Genomic DNA, 27,012 nt, shown 5'->3' on the forward strand with positions numbered 1-27,012 from the left:
CACAGGCCTCACCCAGCTCCCATGCAAGCCAAAAGGATGATCTCACTTTCACTGTACCCACCCCCCAACAGCACCGAGTCTGTTTCCAGGCAGTGGGTGAGCAGGGCTGAGAACTAGCTCCAGGCTACTCACCTCCCAGCTATGAAAGTAAGTAGGGCTTTCATGCTTCCCCACCTGTGGAGTCTGCACACAGGATTCATGCCCTCCCTTGAGTTCTGGCCAGGAGATTTCTCATGCGGTTGGAATTATTACAAAGTTCAGCTGGAGGTTTCCTTCTCCTTGTGGCCTTTTCCCAGTCCTTTTCTGGCAGTCCTCCCCAAGGCCCCCTGTGAGGCAAGGCGGAAATGGCTACCCAGGGGACGCAGAGAGCCCACGGGGCTTTTCCCGCTGCTTCCTCTACTCCTGTATTTCGCTTGGCTCTCTAAATTGACTCAGCTCCAGGTTAGATCAGAATCTTCTTCCGTGTTGTAGACCTTCAGGTTCCTTAGTGAGCATGTGTGTTCAGAGGCAGAAGATCCCCCTTTCTCACTTCCAGAGTTTGGGCAGTCACGGTATTTGGGGTGTCTCCTGGGTCCTGCAGGAGCAATTTGCTTCCTTCAGAGGGTCCGTGGGTTCTCTTGGCTTTCCTGAATTATTTCTGCAGTAGTTCTGGAGCAAAAGTTTACAATGCGAGACTACACACACTGCTCTGTCCATCTGAGTGGGAGCTGCAATCTAGTCCTGCCTCTCGTCTGCCATGACCTTCTCAAAAAAACCGATTAATACATTTCATTTGCCTCTGCTCCAAGCCCTTGGTAACCACCATTCTAGTCTTTGATTTTAAGAATTTGACCATTTTAGATGACTCATGGAGGTGGAATCATGTAGTACTTGTCTTTTTGTGTGTAACTTATTTCACTTAGCATAATGTCCTCAATGTTCATCCATGTTGTTGCATATTGCAGAATTTTTCACTTTTTAAAAGCTGAATAGTATTTCATTGTATGTATATACCACAATTTCTTTATCCATTCATCTGTCAGTGAACATATGGGTCCTTTCCTTATCTTGGCTATTGTGAATTTCTTACTCACTGCGATAAACACGGATGTGATAATATCTCTTTTTTAGATCCTGATTTCAATTATTTCAGATATATACCCAAAAATGAGATGGCTGAATCATGTGGTAGTTTTATTTTTATCTCTTTGAGGAACCTCCACACTGTTTTCCATAGCGGCTGTATCATTTTGCAGTCCCACCAACAGCATACACTGGTTTCAGTTTCTCCATATCCTTGCCCACACTTGTTTTTTGTTTAATTTAATTTTTAATTGACAAATTTATATATATTTTTGGTGTACAACATGATGTTTTGATATATGTACACATTGTGGAATGGCTAAATTGAGCTAATTAACATATGCCCTACCTCATATGTTTACCTTTTTTTTTTTTTTTTGTGGTGAGAATGCTTACATTCTACTCTTAGCAATTTTCCGGTGTATAATAACTATAGTCACCATGATAGGCAATAGATCTCTACGACTTATTCCTCCCATCTAACTGAAATTTTGTGTTCTTTGACTAACATCTCTCCAATCCTCTAACCCCCAGTCTCTTTTTCTACTCTCTTTTTCTATTTGTTCAACTTTTTAAGATTCTACATGTAGGTGAGATTGTGTGGTATTTGTATTTCTGTTCCTGACTTGTTTTACTGAACATAATGTCCTCCACATTCATCTGTGTTGTCTCAAGTGACAGAATGCTTTTTTTTTTTTTTTTTTGGTAATAGCCGTCCCGACAATTGTGAGGTATGATATCTTTATAATCAACAATAATGTATTGTATGCCTACAATTTTTTAAGAGGATAGGTCTCACGTTAAGTGCCCTTACGGCAATAAAAAAATATTTCAAAGAAAAGTGACATGTAAATCAGCCCTTGCATGAGATTCTGAGCATCTTTAGGTGGTTTTCTCTGTGTTCTTTGCAGTGCTGAGCAGAATGCCTTTCACATACAAAGGCTCAGGAGGCATTGCCTTCCACCCGTTCCTTTAGAAGTCCTCCATGTGAATTTCTCATGCCTCTTGGAGGCTGCAGTTAAGCAAAGTCTCCATCTAAAGAAACATTCAGGGAGAAAAAGTGGGTATATTGGAAAGAGCAAGGGTTGAAGTCACACGGATCTGGACCGAAATCCTGACTTCGTCATATACCAGCTAGGTGACCTTGGCAGATAATAACCTCTCGGAGCCTCACCATTTTTAGAATAAAATTCAGGAAAATTGAGGGTTGTTGTAAGGATTAAAGGAGGGTAACATATGTAAAGCCTCTCATATTAAATCAATGTTTGTGTCCTGTCTGCTTCCTTCTTTTTGGTCTGGGTATGATAAACTGATTTATGTCTTCCTGAGTGCCACTTCCCGTGCTTCCAGATTGGACACAGTATCATTCAGTGTTCTGTGGATATCATTCAGATTGTGCATGCCTTTGCACGAGGTTGGCAGGGAGCTGATAACTTATTCCAAGGACAGACGAAAAGTGACCAAGGAATATATGGTGGTATCTTCTATGCCATTAATTCCTGCCCTTGTGATTTCAGCAGGTCAGGTGGTGGCTTTATACTTGTGAAAATCCCACCACTATAATCTACCTTCTCATTTGTCATCAAATTTAATCCTTGCATCCAGTACCTAAATGCCCATGAAATATGTAAGCCAAAACAGCCCAGACAGCTGCAGCCAGGGAGGATATTAGTGCAGTATGAAAAATAAGCAAAGCATGAGTGATGGCAGGTAATACGCTACCTACAAATTGCCCTCTTCTTCTCATGTTCCAGTTTGGTAGGAAAAAAAGTACTTAGCCTATGCAATAAATGTCATTGGTTAATTGAAGAGTCTCCATTCACTGAGGTATAATCATGATTTTTTTTTCCCCCTATGAAATCTTCCAAACTATACTTTTGAAATCCCTCTTTCCCCAATGAGTTTCAGAAATGCTTAACACCACCTTAGCCCACATTGCATAACCTTTCACTCACTTGCAGTTTTTAGTCTTCTTTAGCTTCTTAAGGCATTTGTAAAATATCCCTCTTATGTGCTCTCCAAGTCCCCTTTTTTCCCTGCCCCAAGCTTGGGCAGAGGCTGGGGCTGTCTCCGGGACAGCATAAAGAAGGACGTCTGGTTAGTTTGCAGCCAGCCCTCAGCTTCCAGCTTCCCCAGCCCATGTGAACTAGGGATGGGATGGGGCAGAGAGAAGGCACAACTGTGGAGCCTTGTCCTTTTCTCATGGTTCCTACTGCTTCCCTAAGTAGGCTGACCTTTGATTTCTTTTCTGAAGCAGGCCTTTGTGTATTATCCTGATTTTACATCTAGTACTGGTCTGCTTGGCCTGCCACAACAAAACTTCACAGACTTGGTGGCTTAAACAAGGTAAATTTACTTTCTCACAGTTCCAGATCCTGGAAGTTCCAGATGAAAGAGTTGGCAGGGCTTTTCCTGAGACCTGCCTCCTTGACTTTTAGATAATCACCTTTTCTCTGTTTCTCTGCGTGCATTTTTCCCTGTGTGCACGCCCCTGGTATCTCTCTTGTGTCCTGATCCCCTCCTCTTATAAGGATACCAGTCAGATTAATTAGGGTCCATCCTAATGGACTGATTTTAACTTAATCACCTATTTAAAGACCCAATCTGCAAGTACTGTTACATTCCAAGGCACGAGGGGTTAGAACATCAACATATGAATTGTGAGGGGACACAGTTCAATCCATAACATATATATATTCATACATATATAATCATATATATGATATTGGCAACACACATAACTAGTTTTTTGCATATTTTACAGCTTATTAGAAACTTACATTTTTTTGCTTCTTGATACAACTGTAGGGAGTACTTACATTTTTCATGATCAACAGCTGAGAGAAATATCTAATATGATTAACAACAAAGTAATATTCAAAATAATATTGACAAGTGAACAGTGAGCAGAGAAATCAACAGTTAGAAATAAAATTTAACCAGATCAAAGTAAAACCCTGCGCTTAGGAGGGGAAATATTGCAAAATTCTACACACAGGATCCATTTTTCCAACCCATGATTCAGCACCTTTTATGTGCCAGGCACGCTTCTAGGGTTTGGAAGTACAGTGGCTAATGAGATTTTTTAAAAGGAGGGAGAGATAATAAATAAATAAATGTAAACTATAATTGCAGGTAGTACATATATGTTATTGCATATATATGCAATTGTAATGTAATTATAATTGCAGATAGTAACTTATATATGTAATGCAATTATAGTATAATTGTATTATAATTGCAAATAGTAACATGTATAATTGCATTATAATTGCAAGTCATAACATATATATGTAATGCAATTATTATATATATGTGTGCATTAAAACAAATGGAATGAGATCATGGAGTGAGGTGGGACTGAGTTTAGATGAAGGGGACAGAAGGTGGTAGTTGAGTGGAGGTCTGAGAGTGCAGGGGGCAAACCTGGCAAAAGCATCCCAGGAAGATGGATGGAAGGGCCAGGGCAGCCGGCAGAGACCAGCCTCTTATGTGGAACCAAAGGGAGGCTTCTACTGGAGAATGCAGTGAAGAAGGGAGGCTTGGTAAGGTAAGTGGGGCCAAATTACACAGGGCCTGGTAGATTACTTTAAGGAGTTTGTATTTTGAGTATAAAGGGAATATCTTGGAGGGCTTTGAGCAGATCAGTGACTTGATCTGACTCATATTTTTAAAGGACAATTATGGTAAGCCTGTGGGGACGTAATTGTGGATAGGCAAGAATAGAAATATTTAGGCAGGTTATTGTACGTTTTATTTCTTTATTCCTTTTAGAGACAGGGTCTTGCTCTGTCACCCAGGCTGGAGTGCAGTGGTGCCATCATAGCTCACTGGAGCCTCAAACTCCTGGGGTCAAGTGATCTTCTCACCTCAGTCTTTCAAGTAGCTGGGAATGCAGGTGCATGCCACTCTGCCCAGCAAATTGTTTAATTTTTTTGAGACACAGAGTCTTGCTATGTTGCCTAGGCTAGTCTCAAACCCCTGGCCTCAAGCAATCCTCTCTCGGCCTTCCAAAGTGCTGGGATCACAGGCATGAGCCACCATGCCCTGCTAGACATGTAACTCTTGACTTGACAAAACTGTTGTGTACTGAAATGTGTCTCCCCCAAATTTATATCTTGCAGACCTAGCCCCCAATGTGGTGTTTGGAGACAGGGCCTTTAAGGAGATAATTAAGGTTAAATGAGGTCATAAGGGTGGGGCCTAAATCTGATACGACTGGTGTCCTTAGAAGAAGAAGAGAGACCAAAGCTCTTGCTCTCTGCAGGCACACAGAGGAAAGGCCATGTGAGGGCATAGTGAGAAGGCAGCTGTCTGTAAGCCAGGAAGAGAGCCCTCACCTGCAACCAAATCAGCCAGCATTTTGATCAGGGACTTCCAGCCTCCGGAATGTGAGGAAATAAATGTCCATTGTTTAAGTCACCCAGTCTGTGGTATTTTTTTATGGCATCCCAAGCAGATGAATACAAAAACCTGACATAAAAAGCCCCTGGGAAAATTTGTTTTTATTAATATTTTTGTTTTCTTGGCCCACGTTGAATGCATGTGTCAGTGTGTGATGTGACAACCTGCATTGTTGGTGTTCGTCCCGTTCAGGAAGAGGGTAGTGACTCTGCATTCTGTACACATTAAACCATATGTGTACACATCTGTTACCACATTTCAAGAAAATGCATACAGATATGGCATGTGATAACTGTATCAGTAAGGAAGAGAGTTCTGGACATCGCATTGTGTGTAGAAAAGTTCAAGGAGCTGATAAAATAGGTAAAAAAGAGCTGGGGACAGATAGAAATGATGACCTCCAGAATTGAAAGGCCAATATCTTATCTAATTTCAAGATGAGGAATTTTTAGGTAGTCAGATTTTACCTGAATGTAAAAGACCACACTAGCAGAATTATTTAAACTGAAAAACATTAGAAAGCAGTAATCTCCCTTTTTCTGGAAGTAATAATCTCAGCCTAGAAAAATATTTGCATGGTACACAGTATAGTAGATTTCCTCTTCCTTGAGGGGACAGTCACCCCTCAACACATGTGTATGGAAAGACATTGACCAAAAAAGGGAAAAATAGATTGTTTCATGAGGCTGGGCACTAAGGTCAGATTATAGACATAACTGTAAATGTTTCAATATTATGTATGAAATCAAAGTACATCACCAGGCTCTGAATCTGCTGCATACTTCATTCATTTGTGCAGTTCTTGATTTGGTAAGTTGGCCCCAGGCAAACAAATATTCACATTATGGATTTTGATATTGCTTTTTATATTTGTGAAGTAATGAGTCAATTCCTTTTCCAATACTGAAATCATTTTAGAAACAGAATATAAATAAATGAACTTCAATAAACAAAATAACATTATTTTTATGGTTACAGATGTAATGCCTGTTCATGGTAGAAAATATAGAAAATTATGTGTGGAATAACAGTATTCACCCAGATTCCTAGCTGTAAGAGATAATCAAGGTTAACATTTTAGCATATTTAATGCCAATCTTTTTACTATGTATAATCATGTGTACATATTTTTTATTTTTTATTGTTTTTATTTAAAAAATAGACATGAGGTCTTGCTATATTGCTCAGGCTAGTCTCAAACCCCTGAGGCTCAAGCAAGCCACCTGTCTTGGCCTCCCAAAGTGCTGGGATTACAGGTATGAGCCATCACGGCTGGCCAACCATGTATATGTAAAACTGCAACTATATACACACACACACATCCCTTTAAAATTGAAAGTGGGTCATTTTCTTTTCTATAATACATTGTCAGCAATGCTGTATGCCATTAATGAATTTGAAAATGTGATGTTTTAATATCTGTGCCATATTCCGTGCATAAATTTGCCATAACTTACAATATAGTTTCACATTTGACCACTGAATATTTACAGTGTTGCCAGTTGGTATGGTTTGGATGTGTGTCCCTGCCCAAATCTCATATTGAAATATAATCCCCAGTGTTGGAGATGGGGCCTGGTGGGAGGTGATCGGATCAGGGGGGTGGATTTCTCACAGATGCTTTAGGACCATCCTCTTGGTGCTGTTCTCATGATAGTTCAGTGAATTCTCACTCGATCTGGTCGTTTGAAAGTGTGTGGCATCTCCCCCCTCGCTCTCTCTCTTGCTCCTGCTCCAGCCATGTGACCTGCGTGCTCCCTGCCTTCACCTGCCGCCATGATTGGAAGCTTTCTGAGGCCGCCTTAGAAGCCAAGTAGATGCCAACATCAAGCCTCTAATACAGCCTGCAGAACCGTGAGCCAATGAGAGCCTTTTTCTTTATAAATTACCCAGTGTCAGGTTTTTCTTTATAGGAATGGGAGAACAGAATAATATACCAATGTTTCACTGTTAGCATTAATACTACGATGAACACCCTTGTACAGATATCTTCGTATACATGTTTGATTATTTTCTTAAGATAATTACTAGAAATGGGACGGGCACGGTGGCTCACGCTTGTAATCCCAGCACTCTGAGAGGCCGAGGCGGGCAGATCACCTGATGTCAGGAGTTTGAGACCAGCCTGGCCAACATGGTGAAACCCCGTCTCTACTAAAAATACAAAAATTAGCCGGGCGTGGTGGCAGGGGGCTGTAATCCCAGGTACTGGGGAGGCTGAAGCAGGAGAATCGCTTGAACCTGGGAGGCAGAGGTTGCAGCGAGCTGAGATTGCGCCACTGTACTCTAGCCTGGGGGACAAGAGCGAGACTTTGTCTTAAAATAATAATAATAATAATAATAATAATTACTAGAAATGGAATTAATGGGTTAATGCCTGAATATTTGTAAAACTCTCGGTAGAAATTGTCTGTCAAACTGACCTCCAGAAAGATGATAGCACTTTCTACTCCCATGATTGGTATATAAGGCTGCCAGTTTCCAGTAGTTCATCAACTCTAAGCATGCTCTTTAAAAAGAAATTTTGTCTATTTGATAAGCAACAATGGACTTTCAGCTTCATTGTAATTTATTTGATTAGTAAGATTGATTTTGTCTTCTATATTTAAATAGCGATTAAATTTAAAGTGATTTAAGTAGTTTCTTTTAAGGATTGTTCATGTTCTTTGCTATTTTGTTAAATTCCCGTTTGTATTTTCTTGTTAATTTGTAAGTGTGCTTCATAATGTAAAGGAATAAATTCTTTGTAATATATATATATACACATTTTTAGTCTGCCACTTTTCTCTCGATCTATTTTTCATTACCACTAGCATGCAGAAGGTTTTACAAAAGTCATTTGGTTAAAACTGTACCTCTTTTATTTTGCAATTATTTTTCTATTAAATTTATGCTTAGAAAGTTCTTTCCAACTATAAAATTGGTTATCTAATTATCTACTTAGTTATCTAATATTCAGCTGTATTTTATTTTAATGTTTAACAGCATTTAAAGACTTTTTGCCTATTATGCCTTTTATATATAGTATGAGGTATGGATCTAACTTAATATTTTACCATATAGTTAACTAATTGTCCCACACTGTTCACTGGATGTCTTCCTCCTCAATTACCTGATATCAAAAGTGTATTAATTCATATATTGTTACTGTTAAAACTAAAATGCTTAGATAAGTTTAACAGAGTTTGAACAAAGACCAGTTTAAGAATTGGGCAGCTCTGAGAACCAGAACAGGTACTAAGAGCTCCAGTCTGTCATGTTGTCAGGAAGCGTTTATGGGCAGAAAACAGAATTGAAGATCAGAGACAAAGCTCGGTGTCTTGTCCTATTTGGATTAGTTGATCATCTCTTTTTTTCTTTTTTTGAGGCTGGTCTTGAACTCCTAGACTCAAGCAATCCTCCTGCCTTGGCCTCCCAAAGTACTGTGATTACAGGCATGAATAACCATGCCCAGTCAGCCACCTGTGATTGACTGAAGCTCAGCTGATGTGCTTGGCTGAGACTCAGTTATTTGTCATAAGAGTATATTCCTAGTTAGGCTTTCAGCTAGTTCACTTAGGTTGCAGTTTGTTACGTAAGAACTCGGTTATGGAGGTATCTTCAGGCCAAATTTAGTTTAGTGTGACGTTGCTGTACTTTTATAATGACTGGAGTTTTATAAATTAATTTTGAATGATATGTATACAAAATGGACAAGATGTTGATCCTTATGGAAGCTGGGCGATGGGTACATGGGAGTTTATCATACTACTCTCTTACCTTCCTTCTTCCTTGAAAATTTCTCGAATAAAATGATTTTACTATTCTAATTAAAAGAAGTCTTTACATTTGAACTCTTATTTCTTCCTCAAGTTCAGTATGTAGTCAGTTATCACCAAATCCTGACTGCTGTTGCACATCATCGCTGTCACTGATTTAGCTCAGGCAGCTCTGTCTTCCCTGGACCTCTTGTCTGCGGGGTCCCTGTTCCAGCTATCCTCACACTGCCTACCTCAGCATGCCTTTCTGTTTGCACTGGGCTCCTTTCTAGGCAAGCTGCATCATGCACCATAAATTCTGGGCTTTGCACACTAATTGCCCTTCCCTGAACGTGCTCTGCTGCATCTCACCTGAGTTCATTTGCATCTGGCTTTCTGCCTGGAAAGCACTCACCTTCCTTGTCCGTCTGGCAAACTCGTGTGGTCCCTTTGGTACTCACATGGAGCACCAGCCTAAGAAAGCCTTCTTTGGACCTCCCTGGCAACTCCAGCCGTGAGCACAGTTCTCTCCTTGGGGCTTCCATCATTGAACACACGCTAGCGTATTTGTTTATGTGTCTTATATAAAAGGGAACCAATTCTTGTTTATTTGTATAACCTCAGTGCCTAGCAAAGGGTCAATGAATGGTTGATGCGTAAATTAAAAGGAAAGGAAAATCTACCTTCTAAACCCACCTGAAAGAAACAATGATTCTAAATTAGAATTTAATTATGGCACTCTTTCTGTCTCTCATTTCTGAAGTATGGTTGTACCTCTAGGTTCTGTCCTAATGAGTCACAGATTTACCATGAAATGAATGGAGCCGGAGTCTCAGGGCTCCTCATTGCATACCCTCCTTCCCAGGCTGTGGGAGGAGGCCTGGTGATAGGTTCACATGGTTACCTGATATTGCAATATTTGCAAGATCCTTATCTCCTCCCTTCCACTTCTTTTCTTGTCAGAGAGTGGTGAAGTGAGCAAAAACACCTTTGGGATCCAGCTAAAGAAGGTTGAGCTGAGAATGTAGTCATATGAATTTAGTCAGTTCCATTTATATGGTTTACAGGCATTTCTGTGAATGGAGTTATTGTCAGCTGACCTGGTGTGGAGGAATTAGCACCACAGAGTGGAAGGCTACCTTTTCCCTTCTCTCTGCTGGGTCAACTGACGTCATGACACAAAGATGCAGGGCCAAAAGTCCTATGGTGATGTGAATGTGTCCCATGGCACCTGGTTCTGTAAGTATGTGACTACCAGAGAAGAAGCATGGCTTGTAATTTACAATGCTAAATTGCCTGTCCCTGGAAAACCCTCCCAGTCATCAGATGTGTACAATGTGACTACTCAAGACAGATCATCTTGCCTATCAGGGATACTTAAAGTACAATGTATACAATTATATTTTAAAAATTTTGATGGGAACTGAGACAAAGATTGTTTCTCAGAATTCCTGTATTTGCAGAAATATATACACAACCACCCGTGAGTGTCTCTGTGGGTGAAGTTGCAGATTTTGCCTGAGCTAGGCATTACTAAGAACAATCATGAAGTTGAAGGAAATGTTTGTAAATTATCAATAGCTAAACAAATTTCAATCAACCATGCTATAAAACTGAATTATCTTTCTATCAATAGAAAATACTATTATAAAATTCTTGTCCCGTGAAGAGGTTCCAGGAGTGTGTAGCCAAAAATATAGGAAAAAACTATTGTAAGTGATGTCAGGAAGTTTATCCTAAAAATATCATGCAATCTTTAAAAATCTTATGGTATAGATTGTACTTATCAACTGTTTGAAAATGTATAACTTGTTTCAATTTTAAGTAATTACTCACATGTGTACTTCATGTTGTATTTGCATGCATTCTTTTCTCTATTTATGTTCATTTTTTTTATTATTTATTATTTTTTGAGACAGAGTCTCGCTCTGTCGCCCAGGCTGGAGTGCAGTGGCATGATCTCGGCTCACTGCAACCTCCACATCCTTGGTTCAAGCGATTCTCCTGCCTCAGCCTCTCGAGTAGCTGGGATTATAGGCATGTGCCACAATGCCTGGCAAATTTTTGTATTTTTAGTGGAGGCAGGATATCGCCATGTTGGTCAGGCTGGCCTCAAACTCCTGACCTCATGTGGTCCACCTGCCTCAGCCTCCCAAAGTGCCGGGATTACAGGCTTGAACCACCATGCCTGGCCTGCAGGCATTCTTTTCTTAAAGATGCCTTCCCAAATTTTAAAAGCTCCAGGCCCCATAAGCTCTGGATCCTCCTCTAGTCCTTCCCCTCTGAGTCCTCAACAATCTGTGCCTTTCCCATTGTAACACCTTCTTGATGATTCTGAGGCCTGTTTTTCTTTTCCAGACCTTTGGTTTTGAGCTTGTGTGTGCTAGTTGGATGTTGTCTCCTGGTCATCCTCTCAGTTCCCTGCCCCATTAGAGCTTCTGGCTTCCCAGTTTGCCTCTTTGATATCATCACTCCCCTCTCTCTCCTCAACTTCTTTGACTGCGTGGCTCACATCTAATCCATCATATCCTCTCAGATATTCTCCTCAGGGTTTCTTCCATTTCACACACCTTTACATTCTTGCTGTCACCGCTGAAGCAGAAATCTCTATTGAGCCATGTGTAGGCTACTGTAGCAGCCTCCAGAACTGGATCTCTGCCCCACCCTCCTTTAAATAGTTCATTTGATTGGATTTTCCTTTATTCTGATGCACTAAACTATTAGGATTGAATAAAATCCATTTCCCCCATCCATTCAAATCTGCTCTATGATGCTAATTCTTCCACAGCCCTTGGTTTAAATCTTAAGCAGACCCCACAGCCTGTCCTTGTATTCTTAGATGATAAAAAAAAAATCTGATCACAAAAGTGTTAGTTCTGTGGTTAATACACAGGCCACTATAATAATTGTAATAATCAGGGTTCTCTAGAGAAACAGAAACAATAGGAAGACACACACACACACACACACACACACACACACACACAGAGAGATTTATTAGGTTGGTGCAAAAATAATTGTGTTTCTTGCCATTACTTTCAATGGTAAAAACTGCAATTTTACTTTTGCACCAACCTAATATTTTAAGGAATCAACTTGCACAATTGTGGAGGCTGGCAAGCCTGAAATTCACAGGGCAGGCCAGCGGGCCTGAGACCCAGAGCCCACAGGCAGTCTGGAGGCAGAATTCCCTGTTTTTGGGAGACCTCAGCCTTTTTCTCCTAAGGCCTTCAATGGAGTGAATGAGGCCATCCCATATTATGGAGGGTAATGTGGTTTACTTAAAGTTTACTGATTTAAATGTTAATCTCGTCCAAAATATACCTTCATAGCCACATTTAGACTGGTGTCTGACCAAGGTGCCTAGCCAAGTTGACAGATAAAATTCACCACCACGATCACTAAAACTTTGATCCTCATGCAAAGCTAGTTGCCCCCGTCTCCCACTGCATGGTGTCTACTTGCAGTAGGAGGGGGCTGAGTTACTACACCTTCTCCCCTGCTCACCAGGCTGCCTGTGATTCAGTGGGAGGGATGGGGGATTAGGGACAGAAATGCTTACTCAATTAGCACTTTCAGACTTGGCAGGTGGTTAAAACTGGCATCACAGCATGGTTCCCTCCTCAGCTCCTGGGCATCCAAGGCTTCCGATAGCTCCCCTTCCACTGGGGGCAGCTCTCCTGGGTGGGAGGAAGAAGACCCAGGCAGATGTCTCTCCATGTGGCCCACGTCTAGCCACAGGCAAGACACATATACATTTTTGCCCTGACAACCTCACATCTCAACCCCATTATAAAGGCTGACAGCTTTCTCCTAAAAATAATCTTCTCTATGTCTGACCTGTTAGCACCTCAGCAGGGGTGAGGCATGAAGAGTCACAGCCAAATTTTTGGTGAATTTCTTTGTAAGTCATACAAGATGCTCTCACCCCGCACTTTGGTTTATGGCATCTGTTATCAGACCTCAGCTGAAACAGAGACTATCATTCCTTGTTATGTTTTTAGAGGGTTCTAAGTAATATTTGGCTCACTTCACTCTCCTGTTCAAAGTCCTTCAAAAGCTCCCCACTGCTAGCAGAGTTCCATCTGAGTTCCTGTCCCTGATCTGAAATGTCCAGACATCCTCTTCCTCGACTCCCCTCAAACACCACTCACTCTGCTATTGTTCTTCCACTCCACCGATGAAAAGCCTTCTCTTTAAGATCCCACTGCCTCTGTGTCCCAGAACACCCTCAGTGGAAGCAATTTTTTTCATATCTTCCTTCAGAGCATATATTCTCATTAGCAGTCATTTGGCAGAGTGCCAGGGTGAGAGGGAGGGCCTGGGGTTCAGGGGACCTGGTGCTGCCCCGCCTGGGTATGTGACTTTGAGCAATAATTTGCTGTCTCTGAACTTCCACTTCTCTCATCTTTATAATGACGGAAATGAGGCTATCTGAATAATGTCACGTAGTCATTGTGAAGATTAAACAAGCAGACATGTAAACTTTGCTGCACACTGCCTGGCCTTGTGTGGATATGTGTATGGCTGCTTTCTTGGGTCTCTCTCTCTCTGATGAAGAGTCTGCGTGTGGGAGGGTAAGGGGGAGACCCGCCCTGTGGCTGAGAGTTCCGCCTACGCCGTCCCTCCTATAGCACAATGGCAACGCTTGTACACACTCAAACGAGGAACAAACACACACAGCTGAGCAACTGTGGCAACCTGGCCTGTTTCATCAACACCTTGGGTAACCTGCTAACCCTTCTGGGAATTATCTTTCTTTGTGAGTGGGCCTCTTTCTGAGAAATGTTCTGTGATATGTGGTCAGAGGTCCCTGAGGCAGGGGGCAGCTGTGCGCAGGGCCCCACCGCACCTTGACAAGGGGAAGGCTAAGTGGTACCTACTTGTAGGTTTTCAAAAATAAGTCAGTTTCTTTCTATTCTTCCTTTCACTCATAGCGTTTGGTGAAGAAAATGTTGAAATCTAACTATATCGTAATCTCCTTAAGGACTCAGTATATGGCATAACCCAGGCAGCCAACCATAGACTGGATGGTCACGCAGCCTCCAGTGACGTCCCCCAGTGTCATGTTTGCCCTGCTTACATGGTCACTGGACATTGCTGTTTGACCCAAGGATAAAGCCACATGGCTCATGGTGCCTTACATAATCCCTCTCCCCAGGCAACTAATATCCAATGCATCTCCATGTTCTGTTACTTTTACCTCGTGAATATTTCTCAAGTTTGTCTGCTTCTCTCTCTGTTGATTGACTTTTCAAGCCACCACCATCATCTCTCACCTGGGCTCCTGCAATCGCCTGTTAAGTGTCTCCTTGTAGACATTCCTGACCCATCCGTCTGTTTGCCAAACTATAGCTGGGATAGTCTTCTAAAAATAAATCTGGTCACCACGGAAAATGCTATGGAGGTTCCTCAAAAAATTAAATGTGGAGTTTCCCTATGATTCAGCAATTCCAATTCTGGGTAGATACCCCAAATAAATGAAGAAAGGACTCAAACAGGTATTTGTACACCCATGGTCATAGCAGCATGATTTACAATTGATAAAAAGTGGAAGCAACCCAAGTGTTCATTGATGGATGATAGACAAAATGTGATACACATAGACACACACACACACACACACACACAAATATTATTCAGTCATAAAATGGAAATTCTGACAACATGGATGAACCTTGAAGACATTACACTAAGTTAAATAAGCCAATCACAAAAGAAAAATAGGATTCTACTTCTATGAGGTACTTACTAGTCAAATTCTTAGAGACAGAAAGTAGAATGATGGTTGCCGGGGGTTGAGGGGAGAGAGAATTGAGAGCAATTGTTTAATAAGTAAGGACTTTCAGTGTGAGAGGAAGATAAAAAGCTCGAGAGATGGATGGTAGTGGTGGTTGCAGAAAAACGTGAATGTACTGAATGTCACTGAACCGAATGCTTAAAAATGGTAAATTTAATGCTCTGTATATTTTACCAAAAAAAAAAAACCCACAAAAATCTGATCATGTTACCGAAAATACTGTCAAAAAATTGCCTACTCTTCTTAGGATGAAATATGGACCGTTAGCTGAGTCAGCTAGCCTTTGTGCGATTGGACCTCTGCCCAGTCCTCCCACATCCTCTGGTATCATCTTGCCCCTCCATCTCGGGGCTCCAGCCCATTGCCTTTTTTGGTTTCCGAGGAATCTTGCCTACAGTCTTCCCTCTGCTTGGGATGTTCTTTACCTAGACACAGTGACTTGATAAACATGGTAATGTACTGCTGTACACAACTATGATCATGAAACTGTTCATCACGTAACTTCCTTTCCTTGAAAAGTTTGATCTGTCAAGCTTTTGTGTGGAGGACATTATTGTGTCTCTCTTCTACAGAAGAATAAATCTCAGAGTTCGACTTCTATCACATGAAATCACTGGCACTTTAATTTTATGTTTCTGCTGCTTCAGTAAATACATTTTCAAGAAATAAATTTTATGTTTATCTAAATATCTAACACTAAAATATAACACTGAATATTTCAGCAAAAAAGGTGAAAACAGCTGATTATTGATCAGGAAAATGTGAGTTAATCAGTGTTTTATGTTATGGATAGTTAATGACATAAAAGAACTGCTCCAAATTTTGGTTTCTGGACATTTATATAGGTATATAGATGTGATCTATAAGTCTATAAGTGTGATTTTTATAGATCTATAAATATAACCTATACAAATTTTTAAAATTGTTTTACAGTAAAATTGACTCTTTTAATGGATATAGAGTTCTATGAGTTTTAATATATCTATAGATGGGTGTAGTCACTACCACAATAGAATAGAGAACAGTTTTATCACTCCCCAAAATCTCACACTTCCCTTTTGTAGCTACATCCTCCCCCAACCCCTAACACCTGGCAACCACTGATCTGTTTCCTATCACCGTACTTTTGACTATTCTAAGATGTTATATCAGTGGAATCAAAATCAAACAGTATGTAATCTTTTAAGACTGCCTTTGTTTACTCAGCGTAATGAAATACTTAACTAGGTTGTTCCATTTATCAGTAGCCCTTTTCTCTGAAGGACATTTGAGTTCTTTCCAAGTTTGCAATTATGAATAGGGCCACAATAAACATCCATGTACAGGAGTGTGTGGAAATATAAGTTTCGTTTCTCTAGGGTAAGTCCCCATGAGTGAAATTGCTGGGTCATGTAGTAAGTGCATGTGTGGCTTTATAAGAAACTGCTATTTTTCTTCAGAGTGGTTGTACCATCTTGCATTCCCACCAGCAATATATGAGAGTTCATGTTCTGCACCCTCAGTAGCACTTGATATTGTCAGATTAAAAAAAAAATTCAGACATTTTAATAGGCATGATGTGATAGCCGATCATGGTTTTAATCTACATTATCCTACTGGTAAATGATGCTGAGCATTTTCTCGTGTGCTTATTTCTCATCCTTATCTCCCCTTGGATAAAGTGTCTGCTTAATTCTTTCATCTGTGTTTTAAACTGTGTTGTTTTCTTGATATGGTTTACCTGTGTTCCCACCCAGATCTCATCTTGAATTGTAATCCCCGTAATCCCCATGTGTCAAGGAAGAGACCCTGTGGGAGGTGATTAGGTCATGGGGGTGGTTTCCCCCATGTTGTTCTCATGATCCTGAGTGAATTTTCATGAGATCTGCTCGTTTTATAAATGGTAATTTTTCCTGTGTTCTCCCAGGCTTGCCCTCTCTCACCTGCTGCCATGTAAGATGTGCCTGCTTCACCTTCCGCCATGATTGTCAGTTTCCTGAGGCCTCCCCAGCCATGTGGAACTGTAAGTTCTAAATTACCCTTTATAAATTACCCAGTCTCGGGTAGTATCTTTATAGCAGTGTGAGAACAGACTAATACACTTACTATTGAGTTTTTAGAGTTTTTCTTTTTTAATATATTCTGAATATGAGCTCTTTGTTGGTTGTGTGGTTTGGAAATATTTTCTTCCATTGTATAGGTAATCTTTTCATTCTTTTTTTTTTTTTGATGGATTCTCACTCTGTCGCCCAGGCTGAAGTGAACTGGCGCGATCTTGGCTCACTGCAAGCTTCACCTCCTGGGTTCACGCCATTCTCTTGCCTCAGCCTCCCAAGTAGCTGGGACTACAGGCACCCACCACCACGCCTGGCTAATTTTTTTGTATTTTAAGTAGAGACGGGGTTTCACCGTGTTAGCCAGGATGGTCTCGATCTCCTGACCTCGTGATCCCCCCGCCTCGGCCTCCCAAAGTGCTGGATTACAGGCGTGAGCCACCACTCCCTGCTGGTAATCTTTTCATTCTTTTAATGGCATCTTAGAGAAAAAAATGTTTACCTTTGATAAAATCCAATCTGTTAATTATTTCTCTTCTATAGACTGTGCTTTTGGTATCATGTCTAAGAACTCTTTGCGTAACATCAGATCATGAAGATTTCTCCTATGTTTTCTTCTAAATGTTTTGTTTTATATTTAGATTATAAACCACTTTCAATTCATTTTCGTTTAAGGGTTTTGGCAGAGGTTCAGTTTTTTGCATAGGAATGTTTGATGATTTCAACATCGTTTGTTGAAAACAGTATCCTTGATCCATTGAATTGCCTTTGCACATTCCTTAAAAATCTATTGGGCATGTTTATATGGGTCTGTTTCTGTACTGTTTATTATTTTCCATTGATGTATGAGTCTGTACTGTAGACACAAACATGTCACTATAGATTTATAGTTACTGTAGATTTATAGTAATTCTTGAAATAACATAGTGTGAGTTCTCCAATTCTGCTCTTTATTTTCAGCATTGTTTTGGCTACTCTCCTTCCTTCTTCTGCCTTTCTGTGTAAATTATAGAATCAGCATATCTGTGTCTACAAAAATTTCTATTGGAATTCTGAGTGCAATTGCAATAAAACTGGAGGTTAATTTTTTAAATGACATTTCTACTATACTAAATCTTCCTATCTAGCAACACAGCATGTCTCTTCCTTTATTTATATCTTTGATTTCTTTCAGTTGGGTTTTATAGTTTTCCTGTAAGGATTCTGCACATCTTGTTATATTTACACAAAATATCAACATATTTTTATATTTTATGCTGTTGTAAATGTTTTATTTTAAATTTCAGTTTCTAATTGTTCAGTGATAGTATATAGAAATACAATGAATTTTGTATGTTGATCTTACATCTTGCAAACTTCCTGAAATTTCTTATTAATTTAAGAAACTTTGGCTTCATTTCTCTTTCTTGCTTAATTGCACTAAGATTTCCAGTATGAGGTTAAATAGAAGTAGTAACAGTTGACATCCTTGCCTTGTACCTCATCTTAGGGAGAAGCATTAAGACTTTCACTATTAAGTATGATGTTAGCTGACATGCTCTTTACCAGGTTAAGGAAGTGCTGTTCTATTCCTAGTTTTTTGAGTTAAAAAAATTTGCAAACAGATGTTGAAGTTTGTAATTTTCCTTTTCTTTCTCTGCATCAATTGATATGATCATGTGTTTTATCTCCTATAGTCTCTTAATATGGTGAATAACATTTACTGATGTTTGAATATTGAACTATTAATACAATTGTAGTCACAGGACAAAGTCTATTTAGTTATGGTGTATTAGTATTTGTTATATATTTAATCATGTGTATTATATATTTAATTTGATATTTTATTGAAGATGTTTGCATTTATATTCATCAGGAATATTTGTCTGAAATTTTCTTATATTGCCTTTATTTGGCTTGGGTATCCAGGTAATACTGACATTATAAAATGGATGGGGAGGAATGTTCTCATTTCTTCTCTTTTCTGGAGGTGATTATGTAGAATTGATGTCAATTCTTCAAATATTTGATAGAATTTAGCTGCAAAAGCAAACAGGCCTGGAGATTTCTTCTTTGGATAGCTTTTTATCTAAGAATTCACTTCATTTAATAGATTTGGGATAATTCAGTTTATTTGTTGCCTGTTGGGTGAGTTTTGGTAGTTTGTGGCTTTCAAAGAATCCATGCGTTTTATCTGAGTTATTGAATTTATGTGCATAGAGTTGTTTGTACTATACCCTTGTTATCCTTTTTAACGTATATGGAGTCTGCAGTGATAATCTCTTGTGTTTTCTCTCATTTTCTGTTTGTCAGTCTGGATTGAGGTTTATCAGTCTTATTCATCTTTTCGAGAATTAGCTTTTGGTTTCATTAAATTTTTTTATTGATTTTGCATTTTTTATTACATTGATTACTGCTTTTATTTTTATTATTTCCATTTGCTTTTAGCTTATTTTGTTTTTTTTTTAGTTTATCAACTTAGAACATTTCTTTTTTAAAAAAATTAGCAGTTAATTCTGTAAATTTTTCTCCAAGCATTGTTTTGTTTGAATCTCACAAATTTTAATATTTTGTATTTTTATTTCATTCAGTTCAAAATATTTTCTAATTTCCCTGGAGTCTTCTTTTTGGCCCATAGATTATTTAAGCATATTATTTAATTTCCAAGTGTTTGAAAATTTTTCAGTTATATTTCTCTTAGTAATTTCTAGTTTAATTCTATTGTGTTCAATAGTCAAACGGTCAAATTCTTTTGTTAACATTTGTCTTATGATACAATAATAGTCCACCTTGGGAAATGTTTCGTGTGTACTTGAAAACACTGTGTATTATGCTGTTGTTGGGTGGGATGTTCTATAAATTTTAGTTAGATGCAGTTAGTTTATGACAATGTTCAGTTGTCTGTATTCATGATGATTTTCACTACTTGTTTGACTTATGTCTGAAGAAGGAGTGTTGAAGTCTTCCATTATAACTGTGGCTTCATTCTTTTCCTTCAGGTCTATTGGTTTTTGCTTCACTTAGCTTGAGGCTTTGTTGTTAAGTGCATATACATTTAGGATTATTAGGAGTTCTTGATGAATTGACTCTTTTACCATTATGTTATGTTCTGTTTATCCCTGGTAATTTTCCTTGTTCTGAAATCTACTTCATCTGATATTAATGTAGACACTCCACTTTTCTTTTGATTAATGTACACATTTTATATCTTAGTCCTTCCTTTCACTTTTAACCCACCTATATAAAAAGGGTTTCTTAAAGGGAGTACCTGTATATATTTGGGTTTATTTTTAATCATTCTGACATTTTAAATCTATTATTTGTTATGTTTAGACCATCTAATTTGGGGAACATGGTTATAATAGCTGCTTTGAAGTCTGTTAACTCTAACTTTTATGTAACCTTAGAGTTGGTGTCTGTTAATTATATTTTTTATTGTGATGAGATATTCCTGATTATTTGTATGCCAATTAATTTTGGATTATATTCTGGACATGATGAGACCCTGGGTCTTATTTAAATGCTAAAGAGAATGTTAACTTTGTAATTCTTGTTGCTGTTGTTTTGGCATGCAATCACCCTGATTACATTTGGTCTGCAAATTCTGACCTGCCTTCTCTGAGTCTGGCATAATTCCATTTTCAAAGTATTTTCACTGTTGCTGAGAACAGTCCCAGTGGCTAGTCTGTGGCCCCGTAGCTCAATTCTCAAAGCCTGTGATATGCTGATAAGGTTCAGATTGACAAATGCACAGGTAGGAGGCGCACTCAGGAGTTCATACACAACTTTATGGCGTCACGCTCTTGATCCCTGTCCTCTCTGTGATTTCACCAATGTACACTTATTCCCTGCGTCCTCTCTTCTCAGTTCTCTGGCTAGAAATCTAGAGTTCTATTTTCCCCAATATCATGCAAACTTACTGCAACTGTGCCTACGTCTAGGACCAAGTGACAGGAGGAGACAGAGGCAAAACACATATAGCAATGTGTATCCACTGAAAATTCAAAGGACCACAGTTCTTTTTGATAAGGGAGAAGAGTTCCCTTTCCTCAGAGTTTTAGGTGCACGACTGCTGTCATTGCTGTCAATGCTGCTGCCAGTGCCACTGGAGTGTTGCTTGGGCATCGCTGTGGGAGACAAGAACAAGAGAAGTCTTCTCCCTGTGGCCTTTCTGTCCACACTTGGTGTGGATTTCTGGGCTTCAGGATGCCTTTGATTTCAGGATGGATGATACTGAAGGGAAAAAATGGTAAACTCACCACTGGTTCAGGCAGACTTCAAAGTCTGTTCTCTTTCTCCATCCACCTGTTATCATCCATGTGTTACAGTCATCAGATAGTTCTTTCTTGCATTCTATTCAAGCATTATAGGTGCGTTCAGTGAGAGAGACAGGGTGGTGTGTCTTGAATCCATCTTCTCTACAACCACAACCATAGCTTGCATTTTAAAGATTTTTTTGTAATAAGTACAAAATGAATGCCTTTTCATTGTAGATAATACAAAATATGCAGATAAGAAGAAAGTAAAAATCACCCATAATACTAACATTTCCGCATCACTTCTGTTGATTTGTGTTTTAAGCAAAATTAGATCATGTAGTCCATGTGGCTTTGTATTTTTTTTTTTCTTTTCACTTAGTGGACTTATTTTCATGGTAATATACATTCTTCTCCAAGATCACTTTTCAAAATTGCACAAAAAAGGCAAACATCCCTTCATATGGATGTACCCTAATTTTTTTTTTTTTTTTTTTTTTTTGAGACGGAGTCTCGCTTTGTTGCCCAGGCTGGAGTGCAGTGGCGCGATCTCGGCTTACTGCAGTCTCCGCCTCCCGGGTTCACGCCATTCTCCTGCCTCAGCCTCTGGAGTAGCTGGGACTACAGGCGCCCGCCACCACGCCCGGCTAATTTTTTTTTGTATTTTTAGTAGAGACGGGGTTTCACTGTGTTAGCCAGGATGGTCTCGATCTCCTGACCACGTGATCCGCCCACCTCGGCCTCCCAAAGTGCTGGGATTACAGGTGTGAGCCACCGCGCCCGGCTGGGATGTACCCTAATTTTTTAAAACCAAGTTCTTGTCATTGAACATCCAAGTTGCACAGCTTTTATACTGGTTGCAACCAAGGGGTAAGTAGCTGAAGAAGTCGCAACAGGAGTTAAACTCTCTTAAATACTCTTTAGGCCCCATTCGAATTTTTAAAACAAAAATATGCTATTTTACAACCCCGCCCTAACCGCAGTTAGAAAAATTTATCCTCTGGAAACTACTATAAAGTGCAATGGCCGTGATTCTCAGAAAACTGGTTAGATAGGACCCATGCTTCAACACAGGAACTGACATCTAAGCACAGAAGTTGGATGCCTGAAAGAAAAGCAGACAGTGTTGTGTCCTTAAAAATAAATGCATTGCCATTATTTTTATGTGTCTCTGTGCCTCAGCCCCTGCCGCACACGATAAAGATGCAACTGTGTCTGTACTATAGCGATAAGACGCCATGGGGAAGTGCTTGCAGAGGCTGTGTTTTTTTTTTTTAAAAAAGCCACAAAGAACTCCTTAATTAAGTCTTCCTTTCACCCTTATTAAAATTCGGTGAAGATTACCATGGAATTTGTCCTCTATCTCACAAACAAATCATAACAATTTCATAAGACTTCCTCAGGCTGCCTGGAGTATAGCTTATTGTTTCACTAGTGTTTTATAAATAGAAAAATGTATATGAAATCCTCCAGCACACCCTTAGAAAGGACTTAGCTCAGCCTGTCTGTCGTGATGACACTGTCAGAGAACTGGCTGGAAGCTGGTGACTTAATAATGCAAACTAAGGCTTAAAGAATACACACACATACACACATATGTACCTAAGTGTTTGTGTGTGTGTGTGTGGATGTATGTGCTCATATGACAATAACCTCATATATGGTATTCCGCTAGATGGCAACTTGAAATCATCTCAGTTGTTTTAAGGCTTATAGAAAACTCCAAGAATACATTGTAGAATAAGCTATGATATCTAAGCATAAAACAATGGGGAAAAATAAGAAACTTTAAAATAAGAATTGAAGGTCTCACAAAAAATACGAAACACTCTATAACATTAATGCATGCAAAACCTGATGTTCTGGAAATAAACAGGCCTAGAGTTGAGGTTTGAGTATAATACACACGATCATCATAATAACTAACATTCAAGGAGCACTTAGTGTGGACTGAACTCTTTGCTAACCACTTTCTCTTTCATGCCTTTAACAGTTTAAGATTACTCTATTATTTTTACAGCAAAGACACAGAGGCTTTTAGCACTATTGCATGACAAGTCCCAAATCCCACCCATGTTAAGTTCTGGGTTCAGGATATGAACCTGGGCCTCCCTGACCTCCGGGCCTTATTTTCAACCACCTTTCCTTTTCTTAGCTTCCTTGTTCTTGGCTCAGAATTCCCCCTGCCTCTATGTTTATTTGGTCTCACATCAGTTTTGGTGTTTGGATTTCATTACAGTTATGCCTTATTTGGAGAGCATCTTTTAAGGAGTGACAATATTTTTTTAAAAAGGTAATTTTTTAAAAAATTTTCTTCCAATAGATATTGGGACAGTTTCAGCAAGTAAAACAGCTCTGCATAGGTGATAGGGCTAAAGGAAAATGTTTTCTATGACAAGTGTTTGTTATCTTTACCTCTTCTCTGCACAATGAAGAGAATCCTGCTTGGACCTCAAGCCAGGGGCCCTCTGCAGCTGCCACCTTAGATGCTGGGCCTCACAGTCTGGTGTCTGGACTCTGGCTGCAGTAACTGGAGCAATGGGGAGGTAAAGACAAAACTGGAAATGTGAGGGTGAGCGTTGCTTTGGAAAGAACAGAAATTATCTGTGGGGAAAAACAATAAAGATGGGAAGAAAGCTGCAAGAGGCCAAAAACAAGGCACTGGTGGGCTGGGGGGGGATTTGGGGAGATCATGGGAAAAGGGGTGGGGAAACCTTGGGGTCACTGAGCCAGGAGACAAAGATGGGGAGGAAGAGGCAAGGGGAAGAGAGTAGTGAGAGGCACTGCTGTGGTTATTCATTGCATCCCCTTTCAGATTCACCTGAAAATGGGAGACATGTCTGGCCATGTGTTAATATTTTTCATGGCTGGTCTGCGAGAGTGACTCCAGTCCAAGCCTGGGCTGCACGGGCCCCTGTTCTAAGTGGTCATTCAAGCTACTTTTTAAATATGTGTTTTCATTTGTACAGTTTTTTAGTTTCATTTGAGATTGTTATCTCTTTTATTGGATTCTAAAATCTTAGTTGTCAGCATAAACTCTCCCACGGGGAGCCCTGTAGTCTTAATGAACGGAAATTTCTGTGTAAGCAGGAGACAGAAGGCATGGGTGAGATTAATACTATAGGGATCATGCTTTATGTTTTACATGCTTTTCTTGAAAGTAGAGTGGTTACCTAAAATGATTTCTAGAACATTGCTGGTATACAGTATATTTAAAATTAATAAAAGTAAACAGCTGTACTGAAATGGAATAATTATCACATGCAACAGAATTGGCAAACTCCCTAATATATTTTATGCTAATTGTTGATCAGCTACTATGTACCAGGCATCAGGCTTCATGCCTACAATTCAATGATCAATTTATGAAACAGTTTCTGCTCTTAGGCTCACAGTCTGGTGGTGTAACAACCAGCATGCAGCTCGGCTTACTTGGTCCTAAAATAACTGTGCACAGCACAGTTTATCCTGGTCTATGGTGAGGGTTCCACTCCTAATAAACTCCACAACTGTGACATTTATAACAAAAGTTTTGGTAAAGAACAAGGGTTGGGATGCAGTTGCAGACTTGCAAATACAAATGACTTTTCCCAAAGGAATTTCAGTATGAAAAGAGGTCTTGCAGCCATAACTCCAGCATTACAAACCTAAGCACCATCAAGCAAATACAACCTTTGCAAATTTGCCATCAAGAAAATAAACCCTAAGGGCCTGAAAGAAGGCCCATCGCAATCTGGTCCTTTCCTACCATTGAAACAATGCCTTGTTTCTTACTATTCCTCTCAGACACCTCACCCTCCAGATGACTGAAGCATCTCATTCCTTGTGTAACTGATTGCATTATGATTTCACCTCCCCTAGAAGTGAACTGTGTAAGGACAAAGTGTTTAATATATATGTTTACTGCTATAATCTTACCACTTAGAACAGCACCAAGTGCATAGTAAACATTCAATGAATATGTAATAAATAGTCAATAAATCAATGAATTCAAGTCTCAGTTTAAATATTACCTCCTTGATGAAGCTACTTGTGACCACCCCTGAGCAAGAAAGTTGTTCCTTACTTTGTTTTCCCATTGCCTCTACATATACCTGAGGTATAGCTATGTCCACCCAGATGCAGTAATACACTAAATTTTATGTAACTGCATGTTAAGTCTGCTCAGGCTGTGTAACAAAACACAGACTGGGTGGCTTAAGCATCAGGCAGTTTATTTTCTCACAGTTCTAGAGGCTGGAAGTCCAAGACCAAGGTGCTCATGTAGTTGGGTTCTTGGTGAGGGCCTTCCTCCTGGCTTGCAGAGCACCATCTCCTTGGCATGTGCTCACACGATATGGGAGAGAGAGAGCTTTGGTCTCTTCTGCCTCTCATAAGGACACTAACCTCATCACGCGGGCCCTACTCTCACGACATCATCTCAACCTAATCACCTCCCAAAGACCCCACATTCAAATATCATCACTTTGGGGGTTAGGGCTACAACAAATGAATTTTGGGAGGAGTCACATTCAGTTCATAACAACCTGTTTCCACCACCATCTGGCTAATTCCTCATTTGTGGTGAATGTTTCTCATTCATCTTTGAATCCTGAGCAGCTACACCGAGATGCTGCCCAAATAATATTTGAGTACTTACATAAGTATAACCTCATTGTTGCTTACAAATGTTCAAATAAATATGATCTCATTTTCATAGCTGTTCAAATAGATGTGGTTTCATCTATCCTATAGATCAAATGCCGTGAGAAAATGTAAAAGGAAGAAATATTTAATTTTTTAGATTTTTTATTTCAATAACTTTAGGGGTACAAGTGATTTTTGGTTATGTCAGTGAATTGTTTAGTGGTGAAATCTGGGATTTTAGTGTACCCATCACCTGAGTAGTGTACATTGTACTCAAAAGGTAGTTTTTCATTCCTCGCCTCCCTCCCATCCTCCCCACTTCTGAGTCTCCAATGTCCATTATACCGCTCTGTGTGCCTTTGTGTACCCATGGCTTAGCACCCACTTATAAGTGAGAACATATGGTATTTCGTTTTCCATTCCTGGGTTAATTCACTTAGAATAATGGCCTCCATTATGTAACAAACCTATATGTCCTGCACTTGTATTCCAGACTTAAAGTAAAATAAATTTTAAAAATGCCAAATAGAAACAACACCAGACTTAGATAAGGAGAGACTTTATTTGGAAAGATGATTGCAATAAGGAGAACACTTTGACCTCAGGATTGGCAAGTGTCTTAAAATCAAACAGAAAAAAGGTTTTTTTTGTTTTGTTTTGTTATGTTTTTTTGTATATAGGGAAGAGTAAGCAGAGATGACAGGGACTATGTGGTGGAGGAGGGCAAGCAGGCAGGTGAACAGGTGGTGAAATCAGGTACTTCAACAAGAAATGTTTTGTTTGTGGTTAGCCAGTTCTCAGAAGGAGCTTTTAAGGGAGGATGTTTCACACCTTAGTGCTTTAGGGCTTGCTGAAACTTAGGGGCAAGCCGAAGTTTAGGGGCCCATGGGGAGGAGAGAAGCCTGATTAAAATTTGGTCAATGAAAGTTCTGTGGATAAGTAATGGGTGATTGTGAGCACTTGGTCAAAAAGCATGGTTATTTTTCATGAAGACAATTGTGTGTTTATATGCAATGAGTTTGTTATTTTGTGGATTAAATATTTTTTAAATGTCAAAAAAATGAATAATTGCCTCCAGTTCTATTCTAGTTGTTACAAAAGATATTATTTCATTC

General features: G+C 39.5%; 2 long non-coding RNA genes across 2 annotated transcripts in view, besides 1 other annotated feature; one reads left to right on the forward strand and one right to left on the reverse strand.

Moving 5' to 3' along the window:
• LOC107984778 (uncharacterized) overlaps window positions 1-13,394 on the reverse strand; it is a 66,533-nt gene extending 53,139 nt beyond the window's left edge. Inside the window, exons 1-2 of the long non-coding RNA XR_007064763.1 lie at window positions 13,358-13,394; window positions 12,766-12,883 (exon numbers count right to left, since the gene is read on the reverse strand). This is a non-coding gene — a long non-coding RNA (uncharacterized LOC107984778). The remainder of the gene's footprint in view (window positions 1-12,765; window positions 12,884-13,357) is intronic.
• Window positions 7,028-27,012, forward strand: part of CRAT37 (cervical cancer-associated transcript 37) — a 31,512-nt gene continuing 11,527 nt past the window's right edge. The window contains exons 1-2 of the long non-coding RNA NR_110106.1: window positions 7,028-7,320; window positions 16,910-17,005. This is a non-coding gene — a long non-coding RNA (cervical cancer-associated transcript 37). The remainder of the gene's footprint in view (window positions 7,321-16,909; window positions 17,006-27,012) is intronic.
• Window positions 16,006-16,145: an enhancer, noted in NCBI's record as "active region_10110". NCBI's record gives its function as "activates an Ori minimal core promoter by ATAC-STARR-seq in GM12878 lymphoblastoid cells {active_cell/tissue: GM12878}" and the evidence as "EXISTENCE:reporter gene assay evidence [ECO:0000049][PMID:35858748]".

Source organism: Homo sapiens, chromosome 15 (assembly GCF_000001405.40).
Source record: "Homo sapiens chromosome 15, GRCh38.p14 Primary Assembly".
Classification (NCBI taxonomy): Eukaryota; Metazoa; Chordata; class Mammalia; order Primates; family Hominidae; genus Homo; species Homo sapiens.